We start from the raw sequence: 26,743 nt of genomic DNA, 5'->3' as shown, positions 1-26,743 counted from the left end.
AAGCTGCCCTGTGAGTAATGGCCAAAGTATAGCTGTCCAGAGCCACCACCAGGCTAATTGGACATCACCTCTAGAAAGCGTCTGTATAAAATGGCACACCCAAGTGAGCATGAAAAAGAGAATTATATTCTCGGGGTCTAAAGAAAACTATGCTGGGATCTTTGTTTTGCCAGGAAGCTAGTGTGTTATGTGTTTTACTTAGACTCTTTGGGTGCAAGTAGCAGAAACCAACTCAAGCTAGCTAGAAAAAAAGACATGAGGGGACATTGCTAAGAGATACAAGAGAATATCATGGAATCCATAGTGTAGCTGGGTCTGAAGAAAGAACTGGATGAAAGACAGGAAGGGCATTAGGGTTCTCTTTCCATCTCTCATTTGTGCTGATCTTTGTACAACCTTCATGATTCTCTCCGTTCACTGGGTTTCTTTGCTTCCCAATCCCCATGGTAAGAAAGATATCCACCCTGCAGCTCCCAAGTTAACAAGTAATGGTCCAGCCAAGTAAACAGTCCCATTTCTAAATTCCTAAGAGATTTTTCCATACAAGTGTTCCTTGACTTATGAAGGGGTTACATCCTGATAAACCTATCATAAGTTGAAAATATCTTTAAGTCAAAAATGCATTTAATACACCTAACCTACCAAACATTAGCTTAACTTACCTTAAACATGTTCATAACACTTACATTAGCCTACAGTGGAAAAAATAATCTAAGACAAAGCCTATTTTATAATAAAGTGTTGAAGAGCTCATGTAACTTATTGAATACTGCAGATTTTGTCAAAATTGCTGCAGTCTTACACCATAATAAAGTCAAAAAATCTTAAGTAGAAGCATTATAAGTTGGGGACCATCTGTATCAGGTTAAGTTTCTATACTTCATTCAGTCAACCCAGAACAAGAGACCTAGGGTCACATGGACAAAAATTGCAGCATGGAAACATATCCTTATGAGTCATGGAGGAAATAGAGAGAAGGCTAATTCCCTAAGAAAGAGATGTTTATTAGCTTCTCAGCTGCACAAGCAATTCCAAAAGAATCTGTGCACTAGGTACCTCAACATGTGTTAATTGAGAACTTACCAGGCTCTCAAGTTGGTAAAGCTACGCTGTGAAAATTATCATACCACCTCTGACTGCAGAGTGAACACCCTTTCTCCTCCCTGCTGACTCAAAGGTGAGGAGTATCATATGACCCAAGCTGGAAACTGCAGGAACCGTGAACTAAAAACCAACATGCAAACATAAATACACAAATTCATTTATTCTACAAATACTGTCTTGACAATTCTGATGTGCCAGGATCTATGCTAGGTGCCAGGTTTCAGACAGTGAATAAGATGAACATGGTTGCAGTCCACACTAAGCTTAGTTCCAGCCCAGGAGACAGCTGCATACTGGGGTTCAGAAAAGCCTCTGAAAAAAATATGTACTTAGAAACAAGACTCAAGGACACGTGCTCATTGTTAATAGTTATTACCTCTAAGAGGTAGGATTACAGGTGATTTTTACATTTTTTCTTCTTTTTACTTAACTCTTCTCCACTTTCCCAACATTAAATGGATATTTCTTGCATAATTATAATAAAAAAGAAAGACCCAAAATAAACAAAAAGTAAAAAAAAAAATTGTTTTCTAACCTGCCAAAAGAGAGAGATCCCTTAAGCTAGGAGCAAATACTTCCATTGTCAAGTAAAATACATAATAAAAGCACCCCTTGCAAAAGGAACATGTTCAAGTTCACACTTGATGCAAGATCTTTTTCCAAGAGCATTTTTGCCTGGAATCAACAGTGGATTGGAGAACAGGTACCCATGGAGGTACCTTCTAATAATTCATAAATCCACTGCTGGATGTTCTCACTTCTCTGTGGTAGCTAAAAAGAGCAGAAGGATGGACACCACAGGCTGAAAAGTGTAGTCAGGGTGGGCAAGGGGATAGGGAAATAGTTAATGGCTAAAAAAAAAAGTTAGAAATAATAAATAAGACCTAGTAGTTGCTAGCACAACAGGGTGAGTATAGTTAAAAAAAAGAAAAAAGAAAAATTTTAATTGTACATTTTTATGTAACTAAGAGTATAATTGGACTGTCTGAAACACAAAAGATAAATGCTTGAGGTGATACTCTATTTACCCTGATGTGATTATTATGCATTGGATGCCTGGATCAAAATATCTCATGTAACCTATATACATATACACCTACTATGTACCCATGATAATTTAAACTTAAAAAGTTAAAAAAAAAAAGAATTATTGCCGGTGAAAGATCCATCTTTAACCTCTTTGACTCCCACCCCCGAGGTATTTATAGGATATTTTGCTAAAAACAGAAATGTGAACTAATGGAGACCATAAAACAGAGTGACTTGAGGAGAGCCCTCTGGCAACAAGCTGATTGCTTGAAAAAAAGTGAGAAAACCAAATAAGAGACTGCTTCAGTGGTCCAGTTCCCATGGGGATTCATCATCTCTAGAAAGATTTTTATCAAAAAAAACAAAAAAAACAAAAAAAAAAAACCTCTTGTAGCAATAGCGTTTATCATGTCCCAGAGGGAGAAGTAGGTCAAAATGGATGGCCTTTCTCTAACAACCTTACAGCCTTTGAAAGCCAGGTTGGCTTCACTACCCTTCCCACAAAAGCACTTTCCCAATGAAGATGAAGAAGGGAGGACAGGAAGCCAGGTGAGAGGTCTAGGGCTGGAGTTTCTGACAGCCAGCATAGAGCAGGCAGCCACATCCACTGCAATGTCACGTACAAATCAGAAAGAATGGAACATCATCACCCAGATGTCCAAAACAGAGACTTTGGACACCATCCTGAATTATTTTCCTTCCCTTACTTTTCACATCACATGATTCATTGAATTCTGCCTAGTCTACCTCCTAAACATTTCTTGAATCTATCACTTCTCTCCAATCTCATGCCACCATCATAATCCAAACCACTATTCTCTTTCACCTAGATTCCAAAAGTTTCTACTCCTCTCTCCTACCTTTCCCCATCTCTAGACTTCCCCTGCCTCCCACCCCCAAAACCCTTTCTCCACTCTATAGCTAGGAGGATCTTTCTAAACACACATCTGATCAGGTCACTGTTCTGCTTGAAGTCACTCAGAAGCTCCCACTGCATTTAAATTAAAGACCAAATTCCTTCACATGGCTTAGAGAAGGCCTCTAGAATCTCACTTCAGTGGTCTCTCCCCCATTCCCTCTCTGCCCCTTTCCCACCCTCAGCCATATTGAACTACTTTCAGATCCTTGAACATGTCCTGCTGTCTCTCACCTCCAGGCCTTTGTGCATGTTGGTTGCACTGCCTTAAACATTTCCTTCACTTTCCTTACCTGTATGATTTTTAGTTTCTGCTTAAACATCTCTTTCTCTAGAAAACTTCCCAAGCTCCCTAAACCTGTGTTAGATGTCCCTCCTATGTGCTCCCATGGTCCTTTGCACGTCCCAGGGTACAGGCTCCATGAAAGCAGGAACCTCATCTGTTCTAGACAGATATCAAATATATCCAGAGTGTTGATGACAAACTAGGTACTGAATAGGTGCTTATGGCCCAGGCTGAGATCTATCTGTGTATCTCTCTTTCACTCAAGCAGAAATCTTTCCAGAGTCTTCTACCACTCAGCCCCCTCCCCCCACACACAAAAAAAAAACATTCCCTGCTTCTCACTATCTTCTGGGTATAGGTTTTCCTCAGCATAAACATTAACATAGTCACCTCAGAATGGGCCCACCACAGCTAGGGGAAAGACTTCTAATCTACCCTCATGCATCTTTACCGAGTCTCCTGGCTGCTCCCCCATCCCCAAGGCTAGATGTTTTATACAGCACCTTAGATAGCCCCTGGATTGGAAACAGCTCTGCTCCTGAAAACATTAAATAGCTCTGACTTTGTAAACATCCCTGAAACCATTAAAAGCTCCCAATGTCTCAGGAACGGATTTGGGAGTATAATTTGTATACTCACATAAGGTTGGGGCTAAATAAGGTCTCCCGTGTCAGCTCTTACACTTTCTAGTCAAGGAAAGTGATATAGGAAGATGTGTCTTGCCTCAGGTCATAAACCTTCAAAATAAAGAAACTGGGGGAGCCAAGACTAGAACTGATGACTTTTTACACTTCCAGATGTACCAGGACTTCTCCTAAAAGAAAATATATCAATATGAACTTACTGCCCAACATGGTCCCTGAATTTTCAAGCCCCACATTTCCACATAGGGTGCTCTCTCCCTAGTGCACAATATATAGAGATCCCTGCTGTCCTTGGGATCCGCTCTCCTTGACCTCAGCGTTGCAAGCAGGTTAATTCTAAAAACATTTTCTGATTGACAGAAATATTTTGCTGAAAAGTAATACAATTAAGGTACACGCTGAAAAACCAATCTGAGGCTGATTCTACCAAATTAACCTATCGGAACAAATTGACAGGTCACTTCAGGAAAATCACCAGTTAATCTGGTTTTTTTAAAACTGAATTCTCAAAGATAGAATTGACTGCCTCTTTCATCAAGGGCTGTCTTTTGTCTTAATATCATACTGGCTCGCTGTCGATAAAAATGAAACATTTTATTTCTCAAATCCTCATCCTCAATTGGTTCATCTTATGCTCCAGTGGGTAACATTTCTACTTTTTGAGACTTTTGAGAGTTTAAATGGCTTGTATCATTTTGCTTGGGATTTTTGTTTTCTCTAGAATTGAAGGAGAAGTGAATTTCACTGACCAGTAACAGAGTAAGTATTTCTGGAATCTGCTCAAGTTTGCACATAGAATTTAGCATCATCTTGATTATTTAAAAATTTAGCTGTGAACATAAATATCTAAATATATCTGCCTACACATATAGACAACTGATTTCCTCAAGAATTAAATATGAAGATTTATTTATTTGTTCATTCAAGGAATATTTTATTTAGAAATAAATATATTCTCAGTGGTTCTGTGCTAGTGGTAATATTTAAAAGATTGATACAACAAAGTCCGTGTCCTCAAGTAACTTACTGCCTGGAGAAAAAAAGACAGTCAACTAAGCAAACACCAGATGCAGTAGGTAGGAAACAGAACAATCTCTCCATGTCTCATTACAAAATCTTTATCGCCCATTAGTCCAGAGAGGGGTGAAGGAGGCATCTATCATTCTGGTCTGAAACACTGGCACACAGTAAGAAATAGCATGCCCAGTGATGCTAGGTCTAGCCTGTGGGAAAAAAAACACAAAAACTGTAACTTAGATGTTTATATTTAGTCCTATCTCAACTTTTCCCTCTCGCCACTCTCAGCTCCAGCTATAAAATTATCCCTCCATTGCCACTTGACATTAATGAGAAATAATAATAATAGCTAACATTTATTACTACCAGGCAGGCACTACACTATGTTCCTGACATATTGTTGTGCATTACATCCTAATGGCAACTACTAGATAGCATCATCATTATCCTCATGTCAGTATAATAAATGGAGAAACATAAAGGCTAAAGAATTTGCACAAAGAATTTGGACTCAGGTAATCTGCTCAGTATCCAATGTCTACACCATCATTGTTTACTGGAACTGATACACTAAATCATTTTTCTGACCAAAAACTAGTGTATGGTGTCCCACTTCCCACCCCTTTCCCCTCAAAAGCTATTTTCATTTTAAAGAACGACTTGATTTAAAAGCCTTCTGCACAGCAAAAGAAATAACCAGCAGAGTGAAAAAAACAATCCACAGAGTAGGAGAAAACATTTGCAAACTATATATCTAACTAAGAACTAATATCCAGAACCTACAAGGAACTCAAACAAATCTGCAAGAAAAAATAATAATAATCCCATCAAATAGTGGGCAAAGGACATGAGTAGACAATTCTCAAAAGAAGATATACAAATGGCCAAGAAAAATATGAAAAAATGCTCAACATCACTAATTATCAGGGAAAGACAAATTAAAACCACAATGAGATACCACCTTACACCTGCAAGAATAGTCATAATTTAGATATCAAAAAATAATAGATATTGGCATGGATGCAGAGAAAAGGGAACACTTTCACACTGCTGGTGGGAATGTAATGAGTATAACCACTATGGAAAATAGTATGGAGATTCCTTAAGGAAATGAAAGTAGAGCTGCCATTCGACCCAGCAGTCCCACTACTGGATATCTACCCAAAGGAAAAGAAGTCATTATATGAAAAAGACACATGCACACACATGTTTACAGCAGCATAACTCGCAATTGCAAAATATGGACCCAATGTAAATGCCCATCAACCAATGAGTGGATAAACAAATGTGGTATATATGCACCATGGAATACTACTCAGCCTTAAAATTGAATGGAACTATGGCCTTTGCAGCAACTTGGATGGAGTTGAAGGCCCTTATTCCAAGTAATGTAACTCAGGAATGGAAAACCAAATACCATATGTTCTCACTTAAAAGTGGGAGCTAAGCTATGAGGAGGCAATGGCATAAGAAGGATATAATGGACTTTGAGGATTTGGCAGGGAAGGATGGAGGAGGGTGAGGGATAAAAGACTACATATTGGGTACAGTGTTCACTGCTCAGGTGATGGGTGCATGAAAAACCTCAGAAATCATCACTAAAGAACTTATCCACGTAACCAAAAGCCACCTGTACCCCCAAAACTATTGAAATTAAACAAATAAATAAAAATTAAAAAGAAGGACTTGAATCCATTGTGTTGGAATGTCAGGCATTGTGAAATGATAAGGGGACAGCACACCCAGAGATGCTACTACGAGGTCCTCCAGCCTATTGAAAAAAAACTCTATCTTAGTTGTTTATATTTTGTCCTATTTCAACTTTTCCCTCTCTCAACTCCCAATGCCTGGGAACAGACCCTGATACTGTCCCTAAAAAGCACCAAACAGTCATTTGGCATGTACTTTTAAGAAGCAGGGAGCTGAACAAATTAGGCTTTAGATTAATATGCAAATGACTCACATAACAATTAAAAAGGAGTCAAAGTCTGTTCCTGACTCACTTTCATCCCCTCTTGAGAGCTGAGAATTAGGCCCCAAACACCCTGCCATAAGCCCAGTAATCTCAGCAATTACTGTGCACACATAAGTGGCATGAGTCATCCCAGCTCATGCAAGATGAAGAGTCTGAGGTAACAATCACATTTTAAGGCACTTTAAACTTTTTCAAGTAGGGCTCTGTTTCGTTTTTTTAACTTTCACTGCACTTCTTCCCAAGTTAAAAGGATAGCTATAATAATACCTATCCTAAAGATAAACTCAGAACCAGCCAAGCATTACCCCACATAACATGACTACCAAATGCCAGAGCCTTACTCTTGCTAGGCACAGCTCTTTCTATAACTTGCTTTTCTCCCTGTGAACTGTTTCTCATCCTCCAAAACCCAACACAAATGCCACCTCTTCTGAGAAGACATCCCCCAGGAGGAATGAGTCACTCTCATCTTCTGTGTGCTCTCAAAACAGTTTGTAACACACCAAATATCTCTTGTAGCCCTTGTGTATTGGTTCTGGTTAGAGGGACCTCTTTTATACATCAAGAGTGCTTAGTATAGCACAGGGGTCGGCAAACTGCAGTGTGCAGACCAAATCTGGCCCACCGTTCCTCTATAGCCCTTGAACTAAGTATAGCCTTTATATTTTTAAAGAGTTGTGAAGAAGAGGAAAAAGAAGAAAAAAAGAAAGGCAGAAGAAGAAAGAAGAAGGAGGGGGAGGAGGAGGAGGAAGGAGGAAGAGGAGGAAAAGGAGGAGGAGGGGGAAGAGGAGGAGGAGGGGGAAGAGGAGGAGGAAGAGGGAGAAGAGGAGGAGGAGGAGTGGAAGAGGAGGAGGAGGAGGAAGAAGAGGAAGAGGAGAGGGAAGAGGAGGAGGAGGGGGAAGAGGAGGAGTAGGGAAAAGGAGAGAGAGAAGGAGAAGGGGAAGGAGAAGGAAGAAGAGGAAGAGGAGGAGGAGAAAAAAGAAAAAGAATATGTGACAGAGTCTGTATGTGACCTGCAAAGCCTAACATATTTCCTATCTAGTCCTTTACCATGATAGCAGGGGCCCAATCATGGATCACTATGTAAATTTATTGCTGATCAGGCCCTAACCTACCTTTCTAGCCATCTCTTCAGTAAACCTTATGCTCCAGACATACAGAACCAATAGGATTTACCAAATATTTTGGACTTTTTCACACCTCAATATTCTTTGCTCATGATCAGTTTTCCCTTTTGGCTTGCCTGATAGTGTGTGTCTGTGTGTGTGTGTGTGTGTGTGTGTGTGTGTGTGTGTGTGTGTGTGTACACATTGGCCCCGTTTCATTAACTTATTGTTGCTATGGCTGGTTTCACTTTCCTTTTCTTTGTTATTCGGATAGAGTTTACATGCAGAGAAATCCACTAAACTTAAGTGTGCAGCTCAAAAACATCTGCTAAAAAACATACATCTCTATCAAGACAAAACTTTTCCAACACCCCAGAAAGTTTCCTCATATCTCTCCCCAACTGGTCTCATCCCCTACCCTAAGCCAAAAGACAACTAATAGTCTGCATTTCTGTCTCCACAGATTCATTTTGCCTGCTATAGAGCTTCATGTAAACAAAATCATACAGTATTTACTCTTTAGTGACCATTTTTTTTTACTTAGCATACTATGTGAGACTCTTCCAGTGGCTCATACCAGTTCACAAGAGCTGAATGCTAAATTTTCAGAAACTCTGAGAGCTGGTTGTTAAAAAAACTATCATCAAAAATTAAATTATATAAACTTACAATTAAATGACATTTTAAAAACAAAAATAATAATCAAAGGACATTATTTCCTAAGTATTTCCTACATTTTATTACATATTCTCTTGAAGTTACTTACAACCATTTTATCTGTATAGTGGTATGCTACTGAGCACCTCTTTCCAATTCCACGTTTCATAGGTAGGTTGAAATGGGCCAGTGTGAGTTACTACACCATGGAAATCAGCAAACACTACAAATAAGGACTTTTTAAAGTTATCAACAATATATTTAAAGCTAGTTAAACATTTATCACTAGGTCTATGTTGTCACATGTATCAATAGCTCCTTCATTTTTATTGCTGAATAGTACTCCATTGTATGATTATATTGCAATTTCTTCTTATTGTTTGAAGAATATTTGTGTTGCTAACACTTTTTTAGTATGAATAAAGCAACTATAAACATTCTTCTGTAAGCATTTCTGTTGCCTTGTGCTCCCATTTATTTTGGTAAATGCCTTGGAGAGCCGAAGGATAGGTATATGCTTAACTTTATAAGAAACTGACACACTTTTTCCAAGGAGGTTATGCAATTTCAAGGTTCCACAAGCAACACTGAGAGTTTCAGTTGCTTCACACTCTTAATTACATTGGCATCATCAGTTTCTCCTTTCTGCCACTCTATTACATGTGTAGTGATACCCCATTGGGGTTTTAATTTTTATTTCCTTGATGATTAATAATTTGAGAATTTTTCATGTGTTTATGGGTCATTGTATATTTTTTACTATGAATTTTCTGGCCAAGACTTTTGCAGTTTGGGAGGGTTGTTTTTATTTTTTTTAATATTGAGAAGTATAAGTTCTTTATATATTCCCAAAAGAAGATTTTTACTAAATATTTTTTACTATTTTCTCCCCTGTTAATGACATATCTATTCCTATTATTGATGTCTTTTGATAAAGAGAAGTTTTAAATTTTTCTGAAGTCCAATTTTTATCAATTTTGCCCTTTTTGGATTCTGCTTTCTGTGACTTTTCTTTTCTAGAAAATATTTGTCAACACAAGTCATGAAGATTTTCTCCTATGTTTACTTCTAGAAATTTAAAGATTTGGTTTTCATATTTAGGCCTATGATCCATTTTGAAATAATTTTTGTGGATGGTATAAGTGAGGTAGGAAGCAAGGTTCATTTTGGTTTTCTTGAAAGATAGTCATTTCTTCCAGCACTATTTTCCATTTAATTCTTTTGGTAATTCAGAAATTAGTTGACTATATTAATGTAGGTCTATTTCTGGTTTCTATCCATTCCATGATTTATTTGCCTATCCCTACATCAATATTACAGTGTCTTGATTACTGTAAGCTTTATGGTAAATTTTAAAATAACTTTTTTCTGTTATCTTTCAAAATTTGTTTATGCTAGGTCTTTTGTATATCTACATAATTTTTTAGGTCAGCTTGTTAATTTCTAAAAAGAAAAGTCTTGATATTTTGATTGAGATTGCATTGATCAATTTGGGGAGAATGGACATCTTAATAATATTGTGTTTTATGATTCATGAACATGCTATAATATCTCTTCATTTATTTAGGCCTTCTTTAAGTCTTTCTATAATATTTCTTACTTTTTAGCAGAAGGCTCTTACATAGTTCTCATTAAATTTGTCCTACAGTACTTTTTTATGCTGTTACAAATGTTGTGGTTTTTAAAGGTTATTTTCCAGTTGTTCATTGCTAGTATATAGAAGTACAATTAAACGCATCATGATCTTGAACCATGAGGCCTAGCTACATTCACTTACTGGTTCAATTTTTCACTTTTTTTTTCACTTTCGGTAGATTCCTTAAAATTTTCATTGCAGACAATCACACCAAATGTGAACAAAGCCAGTTTTACTTCTTTTCCAATCTGAATGCCTTTTGTGCCTTATTACACTGGCTAAGACCTCCAGGACAGTATAGGAAAAAAAGATGATGAGAGCAGACATCCTTGCCTTGTCCCCAGTCTCAGTGGAAAAGTGTTCAGCTATTCATTATTAAGTACAATGGCAGATGTAGGCTTTTCATAGATGCTTTTTATCAAACTGAGGACATTTCCTTATATTCATATTTTTCTTACTAGAGAATAAAAACTGAAATAGCAAGTAAATCTACCACAGACAGATATTGCTAAACTTTCAATGCTTTGTCCAGCACTTCAAATTTGATTAAAAAAAAAAAAGGTTATTGTTGAAAAAATGAATGAGTGACCGAACAGAGAAAAAAATATTTAAACTCTACTTCCAGAAATAAAGACACTGCCCAAGATGTACAACCAAGCAGTAATCTTCTCTTTCATTTGGGGGTACTTTAGGGTTCTCAAAGGAATTTCCCATGCAGTGTCACCTATCAGTTCCCCATCAGGGTATCATCAAGTAATCTACCTTGGAACAATGAGAAACAATCTTTGCTAAACTTCTCTGTTCAACACAAAGTGTATCAAAATCTAGAGAACTCAAAGAAGATCCACAGGAGAGCAACAAAAACAGAAATTAAACAGGCTTTCCAAGGAGAGATTAAAAGAATAGGAATTGTTTCAGTTAGAGGAGTAGAAAGTGACTATAAATTTTCAAGCCATAAAAGAATACCACATAAACAATGGTAGTTAGCCATGAGCCAGTTTCACTGAAGACAGAAAAGGACAAAGCTGACAGCTTGAAGAGGAATAAATTAGCATTAAATCTAAGGAAGAAATTGAGAGAGCTATGATTTAGCACTAATAAGAATAATCAGACATGTAACTATCAAAGGAAGTCTGTGTTTACATGACACATACAATGTAGATGAGGTTCTTTTTTAAGTTAAGGGAGTTGTTATTTTTCAGAATGTTTTTCATGCCACAGTCCTGCATTTGTGGAAAGCTCCTTGTAATATAAGGCAATATTTAGACACGAGGCTTCCAAGGCTGAGACTGCCATATAATGCAGTGGGATTTTTTCAGTAAACCATAACCTGAGCATCCTTAGAAGAGACTTGCCTTATCCTGACTTCTACTTTATCATGATTAATAATATTATGGAGATGTCAGTGAGTTTCTGCCATGAAATTTATGATCACCATGTGAGTGAGCCTGTAGCTATACATTTTTTATGCTCTGAGAAAGATATAGTTATCTCTACCTTCCCACAAAAACATCTTCTACTGAAAAATGCTTCTAAAATAGTTGCTAAGATACAGGTTTGACTGGAGCAATGAAAACAAGATAAATGAATTCACACTAAAGAGAAAAATATAAAATTCTAACTAAATCTAGGAAAATGAAAAAACTTCAGACTTCTTTGGCACTAGGTGGGCCAACGTGGGAAAGATTAGCTGACTCTTTATTACATTTCATCCAGATGTTCTGAAACCCAAAAATGTTGGCCAAGAATAAAATTTTAAAACAGCTTAAACTAAAATTGAAAACAAAGTTTTGGTGGCAAAACGCCTGCTAGGGTTTATTAAATGGTGCAGAGTTGTAAGGATTTAAATGAAAAGTGCACATAAGAAATTCTTGGAGGCATGAATGTCTAGAAGACTGCTGCAGAGGCCCATCTCAAGAACTCATTGAGGAATGCCTGGAATATTCTTAAAGACGGGAGCACTGCTGGAGATTTCCAAAGACTTACACAGCAATACAAAAATAAGGATGGCGACTTTATTTCGGGACCAGAGATCCTTCCATTTGGCTCAACTTCATGATGCATGTAACTGTTTGGAGCTAGAGAGATAAGTTGGAAGCAGATATGAGAAGAAACCCTGAGTCACCTATCAAAGCATGATCCGGGAAACTCCTTCATAGGGTGGGTAGTATGTCTAAGACACACGGAGCTAATCTGATAAGGTACTCTGATGAACATGTGTTTGTGTTGAAGACATCATTTATTCCTGAGTTCTTGACGTTTGCATTTTTATTTTGTTGAAAGTATAAGAGCCCATGCTTTTGATTTGGTCTTGAGTATCTTAACTCACTGAAATTTTGTTAAAGTCATTAAAAGGTGAAAGAGAAAAAAAAAATTGGAAAAGGCCAACTTGGGATGAAAGAAAATTTCTGAAAAGCACCTGTAGTTTCCCTTTCCTCTGAGCTTACTGTATATATTGCATTATCCTCAGCAAGTCGGCCAGGAAGACAGAAAGGAATTACTTTGCCTAGGGCCATTCCATTTATTGTGCTTGCCATTGAGACTGCCCTGACACATATACCAGGACTCACCTTTTCTTAACAGAAGACATTAGAAAGCAGAAGACATTTGCTTTTTAAAAAAGCAAAGGAAACACTTATTTCCCAAAGAATCTGTTAGTTCTGGAAGATAGTTCTCTTCTCAACTGCCAATAAAAAGGAGGCTTTTTTTCAGTTAACTGCTCAAATCTACAGGTATCTGAAATGTTAGAAATAACAAAGCCAACAAACTCAAAGTCTAGGTGAAACTGTGTATCCATTCAAATTCAAAACAGGAAGACATAAGTATTTGTTCTCACATTTTTCTCTAGCGTTCTTTTTGGAACTGAAATTTGATTCTTAAAGTGTCTACCTTGCTAAAGTTGAAATAATAATAGGATATCAAGGCAGGCCAGTGGGCAGCTTGAGCTTGATCCTTCTCCTTCCTTCTCCCATCTCCTCCACTCCTCCCCATACTCACTTTCAGCTTCAGAAAACAGAACTATGGGCAATACAAAATATTATTGGAAAAACCCATTAGGTGTCAAACAAGAAAATAATCTGTGTAAATCCAGCTACCTGGATGCAGGAACCATGAACACAGCCCTCCCTCGGGGCTCCCCTGAGCAGTGTGGGGTGTAGAGTTAACTGTCAGCTTAGAATACTGCCTCACCAGGTGCATATGTCTGCCCATTGACTCAAAATCTCGTGTTTATTTAAAAACACGCACTGAACTCATATAAGATGTTTGACACTATGCTGCGAAGATGAAATAAGAAGTGTCTTGAGTTCATGGAGTTCCCTTTGTAATGGAGGAAATGGAAACACACAACTAAAAAGCCCAGCACAATGCGAGAACAGTCAACGATGTGCCTGGAAGTTATTTTTGAAGTGAATGTTCAGTCCCCCTGAATTCAAAACAGGTAAGGGAAGTTTTCTTTGATAGTAACTTACATGGAAACACTCTCAACATCCAAATTTAGGGATTAGCATTTCATCTAAATGACAAAATATTACAATGTTTAAGTAAGTATTTTTAATTTCATACATATTTTTACATATACGCACATGCATATGTTCTCTGAGAATATAAGGAACTAGCCTGGGTAACATAATGAGACCACATCTCTACAAAAAAAAAAAAATTAAAAATTAGTCTGGCATAGTGGTGTCCACCCGTAGTCCCAGCTACTCTGGGGGGTGGAGGTGGGAGGATCACTTGAGCTAAGGACGTCGAGGCTGCCATGAGCTGTGATCACACCACTGTACTCTAGCCTGGGCAATAAAGCAAGAGACCCAGTCTCAAAAAAAAAAAAAGAAAGAAAGAAAGAAAAGAAGAAGAAAAGATAAAAAAAAGAAATATATATATATATACACACACATACATAAATACAGCAAAGATTATAACACGATAAAAATTGCATATATATATATGCAGTTTATATATAAAATACCAATATGAATCCAATAATAAATTTATAGCATGAACACTTACAACCCAGGGGGATGACTTCCCTTCCCCAAATTTCCAGGTATAGTGGATTCACTCCCATAATTTCGCCACAGTTTAGGAAATCCCAAACCCTGCCCCAAGATTTCTGCAGTTTCCCACGGGTTTCAGTGCTCACCTCCTCCTGAGCTCCTGCTTCCTTGACACATTTATGCTACTTGCATTGACCTAGACTCAACATTAATGCCTCTTCACAGCACCCCAAAAATATCCACCATGAAATGCCACAAATGCCTCCTCTGTGTCACCAGCCACCTCTGACTCCCTTTTTCCAGAGGACACCCAGCCCCATCCCTCCTTTTCTTCCTGTACCAAGGGACAGTATATTGTCCCATCCTAAAGCCAGAAAATGTATCAGCTTATCTTTATCAAAAAGAAAAAAGGGGGGAAAAAAAGGAATTTCACCCAAAAAGGAATTCTGATACCAGCTGTTACTCTAAAAAACATTTTTTTTAATTAAAAAATTAAAAGATGAAACACTCATTACACACCAAAAGGCTGTTAGAGGAATTCCAGCGCTTAGGGACTGGAATTTTTTTTTCTTTGTGGTTTTCTGTAGTTACCCAATTTTCCGTGTATTCCTTTACAAATAAAAAACACAATGGAAATGGTGTTGGTGAGAGCCCTACCTTGTGAGGGTGAAGGGCGGGCCGCCCACCACAGCCGGGCTCAGGAAGGGCCGGGAGTCTGCCCCGCGTCCCCTAGTGGCGCGGCCTGGTGAGTGCGTCCCCTGCTCCTATAGGGTCAGCAAAAGCTGCCCTTGCGAAGGTCACCTGCATCCCCACCCTTTAAAGCCAATTACCTTTTCTCGTGCCCATCCTTCTCAGCTTGGCTCTGCTGACAGTAGACAGGGCAGAACCCCGTGTCTGAGGCCTTGTCTTAGCGGCCGGAAGGGTGCAGAGCCTTGAGTCGCCACGTGGAGCCAGGTGAGCTAGAGTGGTTCTAAGTCCGTGAACTCTCTGTAACCTCCTTGGAAATCCGGGCAGCTGCTGTGTATTGCTGCCCCTCCTCATCACAGCTGCTTAATTGTTTCAACAGAGCAGTTTGCCTGTTTGGGGCTACAAATTAAAAGGTCTTGTTTCAGTTTGTGTGTTTCTTAAATTTCAATTCAATTTGTGACAGTAATCCTTTTTAGGATTCCCTAGCTCAGACACCTCGCTGTTTCCTAAAGTGAACAGCGCAGCCTCAAGCCTCCCTGCCATTCACTTAGCAGCCAAAGGGAGCCCGCAGTTACTGGGGATATCAGTTGCATATACACCCACTCCAGCATTCGGGCTGGGAGAAATAGTGTTTTAGTCCGATGTCACACTGTTCTAAAGAATACCTGAGACTGGGTGATTTATAAAGAAAATAGATTTAATTGACTCACAGTTCCACATGGCCGGGAGGATACAGGACACTTGCAATCATGGCAGAAGGTGAAGGGAAAGCAGGCACCTTCCTCACAAGGCAGCAGGAGAAAGAGCTCAAGGGAAACTGACTTTTTAAAACCATTTCTTATGAGAACTCCCTGTCAGGAGAACAGCATGGGGGAAACCACCCCCATGATCCAATCATCTCCCGCCCGGTCCCTCCCTCTATACATGGGGATTACAATTCGAGATGAGATTTGGGTGGGGACACAGAGCCAACCCATATCAAATAGTTCACCTGGTGAGTCCTGCTTTGGGAAGACCTCTGTCGTCTCCCCATTGTCCAGGGAGCTTCCTTCCTGTGCTCCCTGTTGGCCTCTAGGGAGTGCCCTTCTCTTCTCTTCTCTTAGCTTTCTTTTCCCTCACCAAAGTCTCCTAAGACTGCTGTCTTCAATCTTACAGTTTGCATCAACCCTTCTGTCGCATTTGTCTCTCTGCTCCAACTTGGGATTGGAGGGAATTTACTTACCATTCCCCAAACACCCCCTGACCTTTCTGGGCTTTGGGCCTGGCTTTCTCCAGACTTCACGTGCCCTTAAACCAGCACACTGAAAAATCTTCCACTCTCGTCTGGCTGCAGGACTCAACCCATACTCCTTTAATGAAGGTTGCCTCCCACGGTTCCAGGGCCAGTCACTTGGTGATGTCCTGATGGCATCTTCAAGGCCATCTCACAGTTTGTCTGCCCAATGGTACATCCACTCCAGTAGCCTCTTGCTCCCCTAAATCTCCTGCTGCTAGTAAATCCCCACAGGAACTACTGTCCATCCTCAGGAGTCTGGGCCTTATTGCTATTGGTAATAATAACAGCACCATTTCTGAGAGTTTTTTCTGTGCTTGCTGTGCTTATTGTCTGGATGCTTTTCATGACTTAGCTCTTTCATCCTCACATCAACCTAGGAGCAGACACAGGCAGGTGAAGGGCCAGGCCCCAGTGCCTCACCACAGGGAAACTGTGCTTTTCTGAAGCTCCTTCCTTGGGCTTCACTAGGTCCCTACAAGTGCCTAGGACCCACTGGGCTGGCAGTGCCTTTACATAAGCATGGGGTCAACCAGGTGCCATGACACCAGTCATATTGTTATGACTGCCATTTCATACATAAGAAATTAGAGGCATAATGAAGTTAAGATACCTTTTCCGAAGTTTCTTTGGGAACTAAGATTTGAATATAATTTCTTTGACTCCAGAGCCCAAGCTCTTAGCCATCACATGACACTGTTCTTCCTGTTTTTTTCTTCTGTCCTTTTTGATTTCAGTGTAAATTTTATCTTCCCAATACCCCTAAGGGTATACGTGTTGGAGTCCTCGGTTCCTCTGCCTAGCACAGAGGAACTCAGTATCTGCAGGACTGGATTAAAAAGGCAGGATATTTCCTCACAATTAAAGGCCACCAGGAGAGAGTCCTTGATCTTCAGTATTCTCAGCTGCTCCAGGAAGTTAGCAGCCGTAGGGTCAGTAGAGGCCTGAGTGGAGATGTTGAAATGTCCCTAGATATTGGAAACCTCCTGACTAATAGATCTGAGATGGGTGAGAGAGATCGAGAGTAAAGAAGGCCACAGAGACTCACATTTCCTGGAAGCTCTCTGGAGCACTACCTTGGCTCGAAGAATTAGGAAGGAGGCTGAACTGAGTCTACTCTGGTCTACCAGCATTACCCATCCTCATCACTGAGCTGTTCCAGGCAGCACAGGTGGGTGGGACCAAACCATCTTGTCGCTACAGGTGCAGCTTTTGGCCATAAGACAGCAAGTTTATCATGGGAATAGAAGAAAGAAAATGATGCCCTTAATGGGACCTAACTCTGAATATTTATTTCATGATTCAAGTTTATTATTCACATCTATGTAAATTGTTTTTATTAATCAATTTCACTAAATCACAAGTCTCATAAGTTCTTTTCATTGACTTACTGACTTTTTAAAGTGAGCTTGTTGTTTTTCAATGGGTACCAGCAATGACAGGCTTTCAGTAAATGTGATAGGTGTTTTCTTTTTTTTTTTTTTTTTTGTAATTATACTTTAAGTTCTGGGATACACGTGCAGAACGTGCAGGTTTGTTACACAGGTGTACACGTGCCATGGTGGTTTGCTGCACCTATCAACCTGTCATCTACATTAGATATTTCTCCTAATGCTATCCCTCCCCTAGCCCCACACCCGGCAACAGGCGCTGGTGTGTGATGTTCCCCTCCCTGTGATGTGACAGGCTTTATAATCCTATGTAACCAGTGTTTCCCAGGTCTCTCCAGCCTAGATACAAAATCAAGGTCACCATAACAGAAACAGGTAAGACAAACAAAACCCTGATTCCCTGGATCTGCTTCCCACCCACAATAGCAGAATCTAGCCCTGCCCTGGCCCACCCCACCTCCCAAATATCCCTGGGAGGCCCCTGGAGTGCAGTAGGATTTCTCCTCCCTGCTCCACCTGCTTCTGTGGAGCAGGCTCCCGCCCTGCTCCATGCTGTCTGCTGCTCTGGGCCTTGGCCAGCCTTCTCTGCTCCCCAGGGATGTGGGCTTTGCATTGACCCTCTGAATGTAGCTGAGTTCCTACATATGGAAACTACGGTGACAGAAGAGCTTCAACGTATTTTTCTTTCCATCTCCACTACTCAAGATTCTGGCACAAGTTTCTAGGAACAGTAGGAAGGCAGTGCAAAAGCCACCCCTCCCGTTTCACACTGAGCCATTTTCCTTGGACCAAATTTGTGTTCCCCCATTCTCTCCTTTCTTATCTTAAATTCCTTCCTAAGAGGTTTCCAGTCATTTCTATAAATGGCTCCCAGGAAGGCACCACTCCATGCAGCAGAGCAACCCAGAAATATGCCCTCCATGGAAAGCCCTCCTTTCTTGAACTGCTGCATATCAAAGTCCCCTTTCTCCTGCCAGTAAGGGAAAATGATCTGAACAAGGAGGGGTGAGATTCTCCGGAGTGAAAGTAGAATAATGCCCAGAGAAAGAAGGGGTCTCCCTCCCTAGTTCTAAAGAAAGTCAGCCACCATCTGTGACCACCCACTACCACCCTGAGCAGAGACAAAGGCACGAAAGTTTGTGTCAAAAGGCTATCACTCCAAACACTATCCCTGTACGTTTCAGGGACCCAGTGAAACACACTAGTTTCTTTAGTGTAGGTTAAACACTGCACATGTTCCCAGAAAACAGAAAAGTTTGTATGAATTCTCAACTACATGTTTTTCTGGGAACAAAATTCTCTTTTCTAACATTAAAAATTCTGTAGGATTCACAAAATCAGATTAAATGCCAGATACCAACACTGTCCTTGAATACCCCCATAACCTAGTGGAGTCAGAGACAGCTTAGCACAGCTTAGGTTCTTAAGCCACCACCCTGCCTCTTTCCTAGACACACACACATACACACAGGTGCACACACACACAGGTGCACACACACATACACTGACTTTTCTCTTATATGAATTATTTCCATCTCCAACTCTTGACTTGACATCGCATGGATCTCCCCCCAGATTCCAGCTTCCTAAGCTGTCACAGTAGGAAGGAAATTTGTTTATACAGCATCAAATCAGATAGAAATTGTCACTCCAATAAGATCGACTCATTGACACAACCCTCTGAATGCATTTTGGTGCCTTTGACTCTACCATAAAAGTAGAAAAAAAGGGGTAAGAAAGCTAGAAGAAGTAGGTAAAAGAAGCTCAAAAGGATTTGGGCTGGACTCTGGATCAGTAGAAAACGTGATGATGCTGCTTCTGACTGAATGTTTGTCTTGCAAAGCATCAGATTGGCTGAGCACTGGTATTGTCTCTTCGTTGCTGACTGAGGAAAATGTACTAGTTTCCTAATTATTACCACAAACATAGTAGAAATTTATTCTTTTCAAATTCTAGAGTCCAGATGTCCAAAATTAAAGTTTCATCAGGACTACTCTCCCTCCAGAGGTTCCAGGGAAGAGTCCTTCCTTGCTTCTTCCAGCTTCTGATGGCTCCTGGGGTTCCTTGGCTTGTGGCTGCACTACTCTACTTTCTGCCTCCACCTTCAGATGACCTCCTTCCCTAGGTCCCTTTGTCTTCTTTTCTGTCATAATGACAATGTCATTGGATTTAGGACTCACCCTAAATCCAGGATGATCTCATCTCAAGATCCTTACCTTAATTATATCTGCAAAGACTATTTCCAAATAAGGTCACATTCACAGGCATGTGGCGTAGAGGTTAGGAATGGAGCATATCTTTCAGGACCTACACCCTACAGAATGTATTTTCTACTAAACCCTGGAGAATATATTCTCACCTAACCTGATCCTCCACTTTCTCTTTCAACCAGCACAAGGAAGATTATACCAAAGGCACTTAGATCCCCCAAATAACCTGAAAGAGAGGATACCTCTGTCTCTTGAGGTAAGTGAAAAGCACACTGTAAACAGTGCCTGTGCTGGGTTTTTGTTTTGTTTTTGTTTTTATTTTTGTTTTTTTGAGATGGAGTCTCGCTCTGTCACCAGGCTGGAAGGCAGTGGTGCAATCTCGGCTCACTGCAACCTTCGCCTCCTGGGTTCAAGCGATTTTCCTGCCTCAGCCTCCCGAGTAGCTGGGACTACAGGCACGCACCACCAAGCCCAGCTAATTTGTGTGTTTCTTAATAGAAACAGGGTTTCACCATGTTGGCCAGGATGGTCTTGATTTCCTGACCTCGTGATCCACCTGCCTTGGCCTCCCAAAGTGCTGGGATTACAGGTGTGAGCCACTGCGCCTTGCCACCTGAACTGTTTTTAAGCTTCTCTAAGCATCCTGAGGCACAGAGCACAGTGCTAGAAACAGATGGCAGCATTTCTTTTAATTTTATGGAGTAAACAGAGAGGACTGGGAGAGATGAAGATTAAACAAACAGATTATAAAGACTTCTTCCCATTTACTGGCCCCTGCACCTCCACTCAAACCCCGCATAAGTCACCTGAAGAAATAGACCAAGATAGAGTATCTAGCAGGTAAATATTTGACAAGTGAATGCATAAATTAATAAACAAATTAATGGTTTTTATAAAGCCCTGAGATTTTCTTTACTTTCTTTTTTTTTTTTTTAAGACAGGGCCACACTGTGTCCCCCAGGCTGGAGTGCAGTGGCATGATCATGGCTTGCTGTACCCTTGACTTTCCAGGCTCAAAAGATCCTCCCACCTTAACTTCCTAAGCAGCTGGGACTATAGGCATGTGCCACCATGCTTCTCTAATTTTTTTTTTTTTTTTGAAGAGATAGAGTCTCACTGTGTTGCCCAGGCTGGTCTCAAACTCCTGGGCTCAAGTGATCCTCATGCCTCAACCTCCCAAAGTGCTGGGATTAAAGGCATGAGCTACCACACCCAGCCCTGAAATTTTCTGATATATAATTAATACCCAAAAGAAGTGACAAGGAAGATAATTCTATCTAGTTTCACTAGTATTTATTTTTAAAATGCCTACTTTGCCTCATATCCTGATGTTGGGTCTAAATTAAGACACTCAACAAATATGGGAGCTTAGTTCGATGATGATGGTCGTGATTAACTGATTAACAACATCAGTTAATATTCATTAAGCACTATCATGGGCCAGGCGCCGTGTTTAATGTGTGGCCATCATCAAAAACATTTTGTTTGGCCAGGTATGGTGGCTTTTGCTTATAAACTCAACTACTAAGGAGGCTGAGGCAGAAGAATTGCTTGAGGCCAGGAGTTCAAGACCAGACTGGACAACATAGCAAGACCTCATCTCCACATCCAAAAAAATAAGAAGAAGAGTAACAAGACCTAGTGGTAGGCCTAACTATAATTTCAAAGTAACAAGAAGCATAAATATTTAGAGAAACTTGCAGGAACTGTGATGTAATGTGAATACATTTGAGATTTCTATTACTGACAAATAATGGGTGCTGCTCAAACTATGGGGTCTGTTGCTACATTAATAACTGAAGGAAATGCTAAATTTCAGCCTGAAGTTAATGAAAATAAAGATGCAATTTTTATTCCCATTCAAGTTCACAGACTGCCTGAATTTTCTCCACAGATCCCTTGTCCATAGTCTCTTTGATCTGAATATAAACTGAGCCAAGCTTCCCTTTTAGTGTTAGATGTTTTTTTAATAACCTGTTCTTTAGAAATGTCAAGAGTATTGGAGAATCACTGGCAGTCAGATCATTTTCTTGTCACCTTAAAATCAAGGTCAATGTGTAAGAGGCAGCTACTGGACAGGTCCTTCTCACTGTCAGTCCTGCACACTGGAGTGGTGGCCATCCACTCATATGTGCTCAGCTATCTATCTTATCCCCAGTGTGTCCTGGGAGACACTAGTCCAGTGACATATCCCGCTTTGTGGTCAAGTGAACTCAGGAAATGCTACATCAACTCTTTGCCTCTTAGAAATTTACAATGCAAACTAGCATAGTAAAGGCTTTGAGAGGTACTACAAAGCAGTTAACCCAAACATGGCCTGACCACAGAACCACCTTCTTTCTTTTTTCCACTGTGTAACTGCTAGTTTCATTGAACAGAGAATTCACCTTGGGAAACATTTGTTTGAGTAGTGTTAAAAGTACCACAAAACAACTCCCCAACTGACTGAAATAAACCAGCTCCAAATTAAACCCATAGGCTTTTCCCAGAACAAATCCAGAACAAGCTCTAGATGGAAAAGGGAAACTATGCACCAGGGTAGTTTGTGTTATGCTCAGCAATGTATGTGCTCAGTTTAACAAAAGCCATGCTTCTTCCTATTTGCCATGAAGGAGTTCTATGGCCAAGTTCTACCTGCTGAGTAAATACCCTTCTCATAATCACCACCAAACCATAGCAATCACAGTGGGTCAATATGACTTCAGTGATCTGATTTATTAATTAGTACTCTTGTTTTAAGTAACAGAGCCCACTGTAGTGATCCTAAGCATAAAGGCAATTCATCAGAAGGTGAAAGGTCATCTCACAAACCAGATAGAATGCAACCAAGTCACTTTAGGAGAGTAATGAACCCAGGGATTGCACAACTAGTAGGGCTTGGCTCTCAGCCTTCCTCCCTCCTTCTCCCTTCTCCTTTTCCCCTTCCTCCTCCCTCCTTCCTTTTGCCTCCTTTTCACCCCCCTCTTGTCACTCTCTCTCTCTCCCTTCTTTGCTTGTCTTCACTTTTCATTCTCTAATTCTAGCATGCTTTTCCTCTAATACAAGTGCATATACTCTCCCCCACCTTCACTGAATTGCTTCTTCAGTGAATTCCATAGTGTTGACTGGCTTTCTTTGATTTTGCATATGGCAAAAAAAAAAAAAAACCCATGGCTACCATGAGCTCCTGAGTTACCAGTAAAACCACAAATGAGACTGAATTCTGTCTGGTTCAGCTTGGGTCAGGTGGCTTCCCTGGCTTGCCAGGAGCCATGTCTATGATATAGTGAAGATCAGGGTCCACAAACAGGGAAGAGAGGATGAAATACAGACAACCTGCATTGATGACATCTGGAAAACTACTTAAACAGAGCAAAGACTTGCTTAGTTGATCACACACACGTTATTAATTCCATTACTGTTAATAACTTAAATTCTTGCTTCAGGCTGGAATATAATAAGAAGTATATGTGGCAAAATGTGCTCATTCCCCCTTCTCAACTAAACACCTGGACAAAGGCATCTTAGAAACAAAATCATCAGGATAAAAGAAAGAATTACTCAGATGCAATGGTTAATAATTAATAATCATTCCACCCACACACGAGGATTCCACCTTTATTGTTAATGAGCTAAGGACTCAAGGGTTACATATTTTCTGTGTGTATTTTTTAAATTTCTTTTCAAGCATTCAATAATTATTCTCAAATTATCCTTCAATATGAGCAAGAGGCTACAGAAAAGATGGTTATTCTCTCATAAGCATTCACAACATGATCCCAATACACGCCAGACTCGCCTCTGCCATTTTCTCACACCCACCTGTGTTCCAGCCACACAGAATGTCTTGCTCTTCCCAAGCTATGGAATATTGTTTATCTGAAATTCAAATTGAACTGAGTGTTCTCTATTTTTATTTACTAAATCTGGAAACCTACCCAGATCACACTTTGCCCTCAAAGCTCCCGGAGTTTGTCACGCTACGCCTTTCACTTAGGATGCCGTCCACCAGTCCCCTCCCCCGGATAAATTCAGTCTCCAAAAAAGGGAGGCTTAGAGTTTAGTGGAATGAAGTGGAAAATAGAGTATAGCACACATAGGTTAATCCTTGTCTTGTCAAGCTTAAGTTTCTGTGTGTGTGTGCGTGTGTGTGTGTGCATGTGCTGATTCAGTGTAAAATGTATTTTTTATTGTTAAGTTATGGTTAAAGTAGAATGAAAGCCTCTGAGCAACCTCTGAGCAAACCTCTGAGCAACCTCAGGATCAGCTGTAATTCTCAGTTATTATTTCTTGTGATCTCCTAGCATTCCTTTCAAACATTTTCAATGGCTCCTCATTTCATACATAGGCTTTCCATAATCTGGCCCCAACCTCTTACCCATCTCATCTCACAGCTAACTCCATTACACAAACCATCCACCTCAGATAAATGGCCTGCTTCCTTCCCTGAATCTATGACACACACTCTGTTTCATAAATTGTGTTTGCCTTCTCCCACAGTCACTCCACCACCCCTGCCAAACCCGGCCTCTCTCCTCTTTCCTCTCTCCTCTCTCCTCTCCTAAGGCTCACACTTACTTAAAGCTCAAGTTATGTTTGTGTAACCTTAAACAAGGCACTTCCCATCTGAGCACAGGGTCTTTGTTGACAGAATCAGGGAATTGGGGGAGAGATCTGGCAAGATGGCCAAATAGGAACAGCCCAAGTCTGCACCTCCCAGTGAGACCAACGCAGAAGGTGGATGATTTCTGCATTCCTAACTGAGGTACCCTGTTCATCTCATTACAGTGATCAGTGGTTTTTATTCCAGGGATGCAAGGATGGTTCAACATATGTAAATCATATGTAAATCAATAAATGTGTTTCACCATATAAAGAAAATTAAGAACAAAAAACATATCTCAATAAATGCAGAAAAAGCATCTGATAAAAATCCAACATCCCTTCATGATATAACTAGACATTGAAGGAACATACCTCCAAATAATAAAAGCCACACATTACAAACCCATGGCCAACATCATACTGAAAGGAGAAAAGCCAAAAGCATTTCCCCTATGACCTGAAACTGAACAAGCCTGTCTACTCTCACCTCTCCTATTCAACATAGTACTGGAAGACCTAGCCAGAACAATCAGGCAAGAGAAAGAAATAAAAGGCATCCAAACTGAAAAAAAAATAAAAGTCAGATTATCTCTTTTCACTGATGACATGATCCTATACCTAGAAAACCCTAAAGATTCCTTAAAAATACTCCTAGACATAATAAATGACTTCAGTAAAGTTCAGTAAAGTTTCAGAATACAAAACCAATGTACAAAAATCAGTAGCATTTATATACCCCAATAACACTCAAGCTGAAAACCAAATCAAGAATTCAATTCCATTTACGATAGCTACATATAATAAAACTAAAATTAAATACCTAGGAATATATTTAACCAGAGAGGTTAAAGATTCCTACAAGGAGAAATACAAAACACCAATAAAAGAAACCATAGACGACACAAACAGAAAAACATCCCATCTGGGCACAGTGGCTCGTGCCAGTAATCCCAACACCTTGGGAGGCCAAGACAGGAGGATCCATTGAGCCCAGGAGGTTGAGACCAACGTGGGCAACATAGAGAGACCTTGTTTCTACAAAAAAATTAAAAATTAGCCAGCCATGGTGGCTAACACTTGTAATCCCAGCTACCTAGGAGGCTGAGGCAGGAGGATTGCTTGAGTCTGGGAGGTTGAGGCTTCAGTGAGCTATGATTGTGCCACTGCACTCCAGCCTGGTTAACAAAGTGAGACCCTGTTTCAAAAAAAAAGAAAAAGAAAAGAAAAATATTCCATGCTCATGAATTGTGAAGAATCAATATCTTTAATATGGCAATAATTTATTGCCCAAAGCAATCTGTGGTTCAGTACAGTTCCTATCAAATTACCAACGTCATTTTTCACAGAAAAAGAAAAAACAATTCTAACACTCATACAGAACCAGGAAAGAGCCAGATTAGCAAAGCAATCCTAAGCAAAAGAAAAAAGCTGGAGGTATCACATTACCTGACTTCAAATCATACTACAAGGCTGTAGTAACCAAAACAGCATGGTACTAGTATAAAAATAGACACATAGATCAATGAAACAAAATAGAGAACCAGAAATAAAGCCACATACCCACAACCAGCTGACCTTTGACAAAGTAAACAAAAATAAGCAATGGGAAAAGGGCACCCTATTCCATAAAAGGTGCTGGGAAAACTGGCTAGCCATATGCAAAATAATGAAATTGGACTCCTATCTCTCATTTTCTACAAAATTACTCAAAATGAACTAAAGACTTAAATGTAAGACTTGGAACTATAAAAATCCTAGAAGAAAACCTAGAAAATAAATACTCTTTTGGACACTGGCCTAGGCAAAGAATGTATGACTAAGGCCTCAAAAGCAAATGCAACAAAAACAAAAACAGATAAATGGGGCTTAACTAAACTAAAAAGCTTCTGCATAGAAAAAAAAAAGATTAAACAGATAACCCACAGAATAGGAGAAAAATTTGCAAATTATGGCTCCAACAAAGGACTAGTATCCAGCCTCTACAAGAAACTCAGACCCCTCTACAAGAAAAAAAAATGACCCTATCAAAAAGTGGCCAAAGGACAAGAACAGACATTTCTCGAAGACATACATGCAACCAACAAATATATGAAGAAATGTTCAACATCACTAATCATCAGAGAAATGCAAATTAAAACCACAATGAGACATCATCTTACACGAGTCAAAATGGCTATTATTGAAAAGTCAAAAAATAGTAGATGTTGGTGTGGATGTGGAGAAAAGAGAA

The 26,743-nt window shown here is 39.9% G+C and overlaps 1 long non-coding RNA gene across 1 annotated transcript in view; it reads right to left on the bottom strand.

Annotated features, from left to right (window-relative positions):
• Nucleotides 1–15,300, bottom strand: part of LINC01374 (long intergenic non-protein coding RNA 1374) — a 61,051-nt gene extending 45,751 nt beyond the window's left edge. The window contains exon 1 of the long non-coding RNA NR_149080.1: nt 15,199–15,300. This is a non-coding gene — a long non-coding RNA (long intergenic non-protein coding RNA 1374). The remainder of the gene's footprint in view (nt 1–15,198) is intronic.
• Nucleotides 15,301–26,743: the final 11,443 nt, after the last annotated feature.

Source organism: Homo sapiens, chromosome 10 (assembly GCF_000001405.40).
Source record: "Homo sapiens chromosome 10, GRCh38.p14 Primary Assembly".
Lineage (NCBI taxonomy): Eukaryota > Metazoa > Chordata > Mammalia > Primates > Hominidae > Homo > Homo sapiens.
Note: the sequence above shows the minus strand (reverse complement) of the source record. Positions and strands in the feature narration are given on the sequence as shown.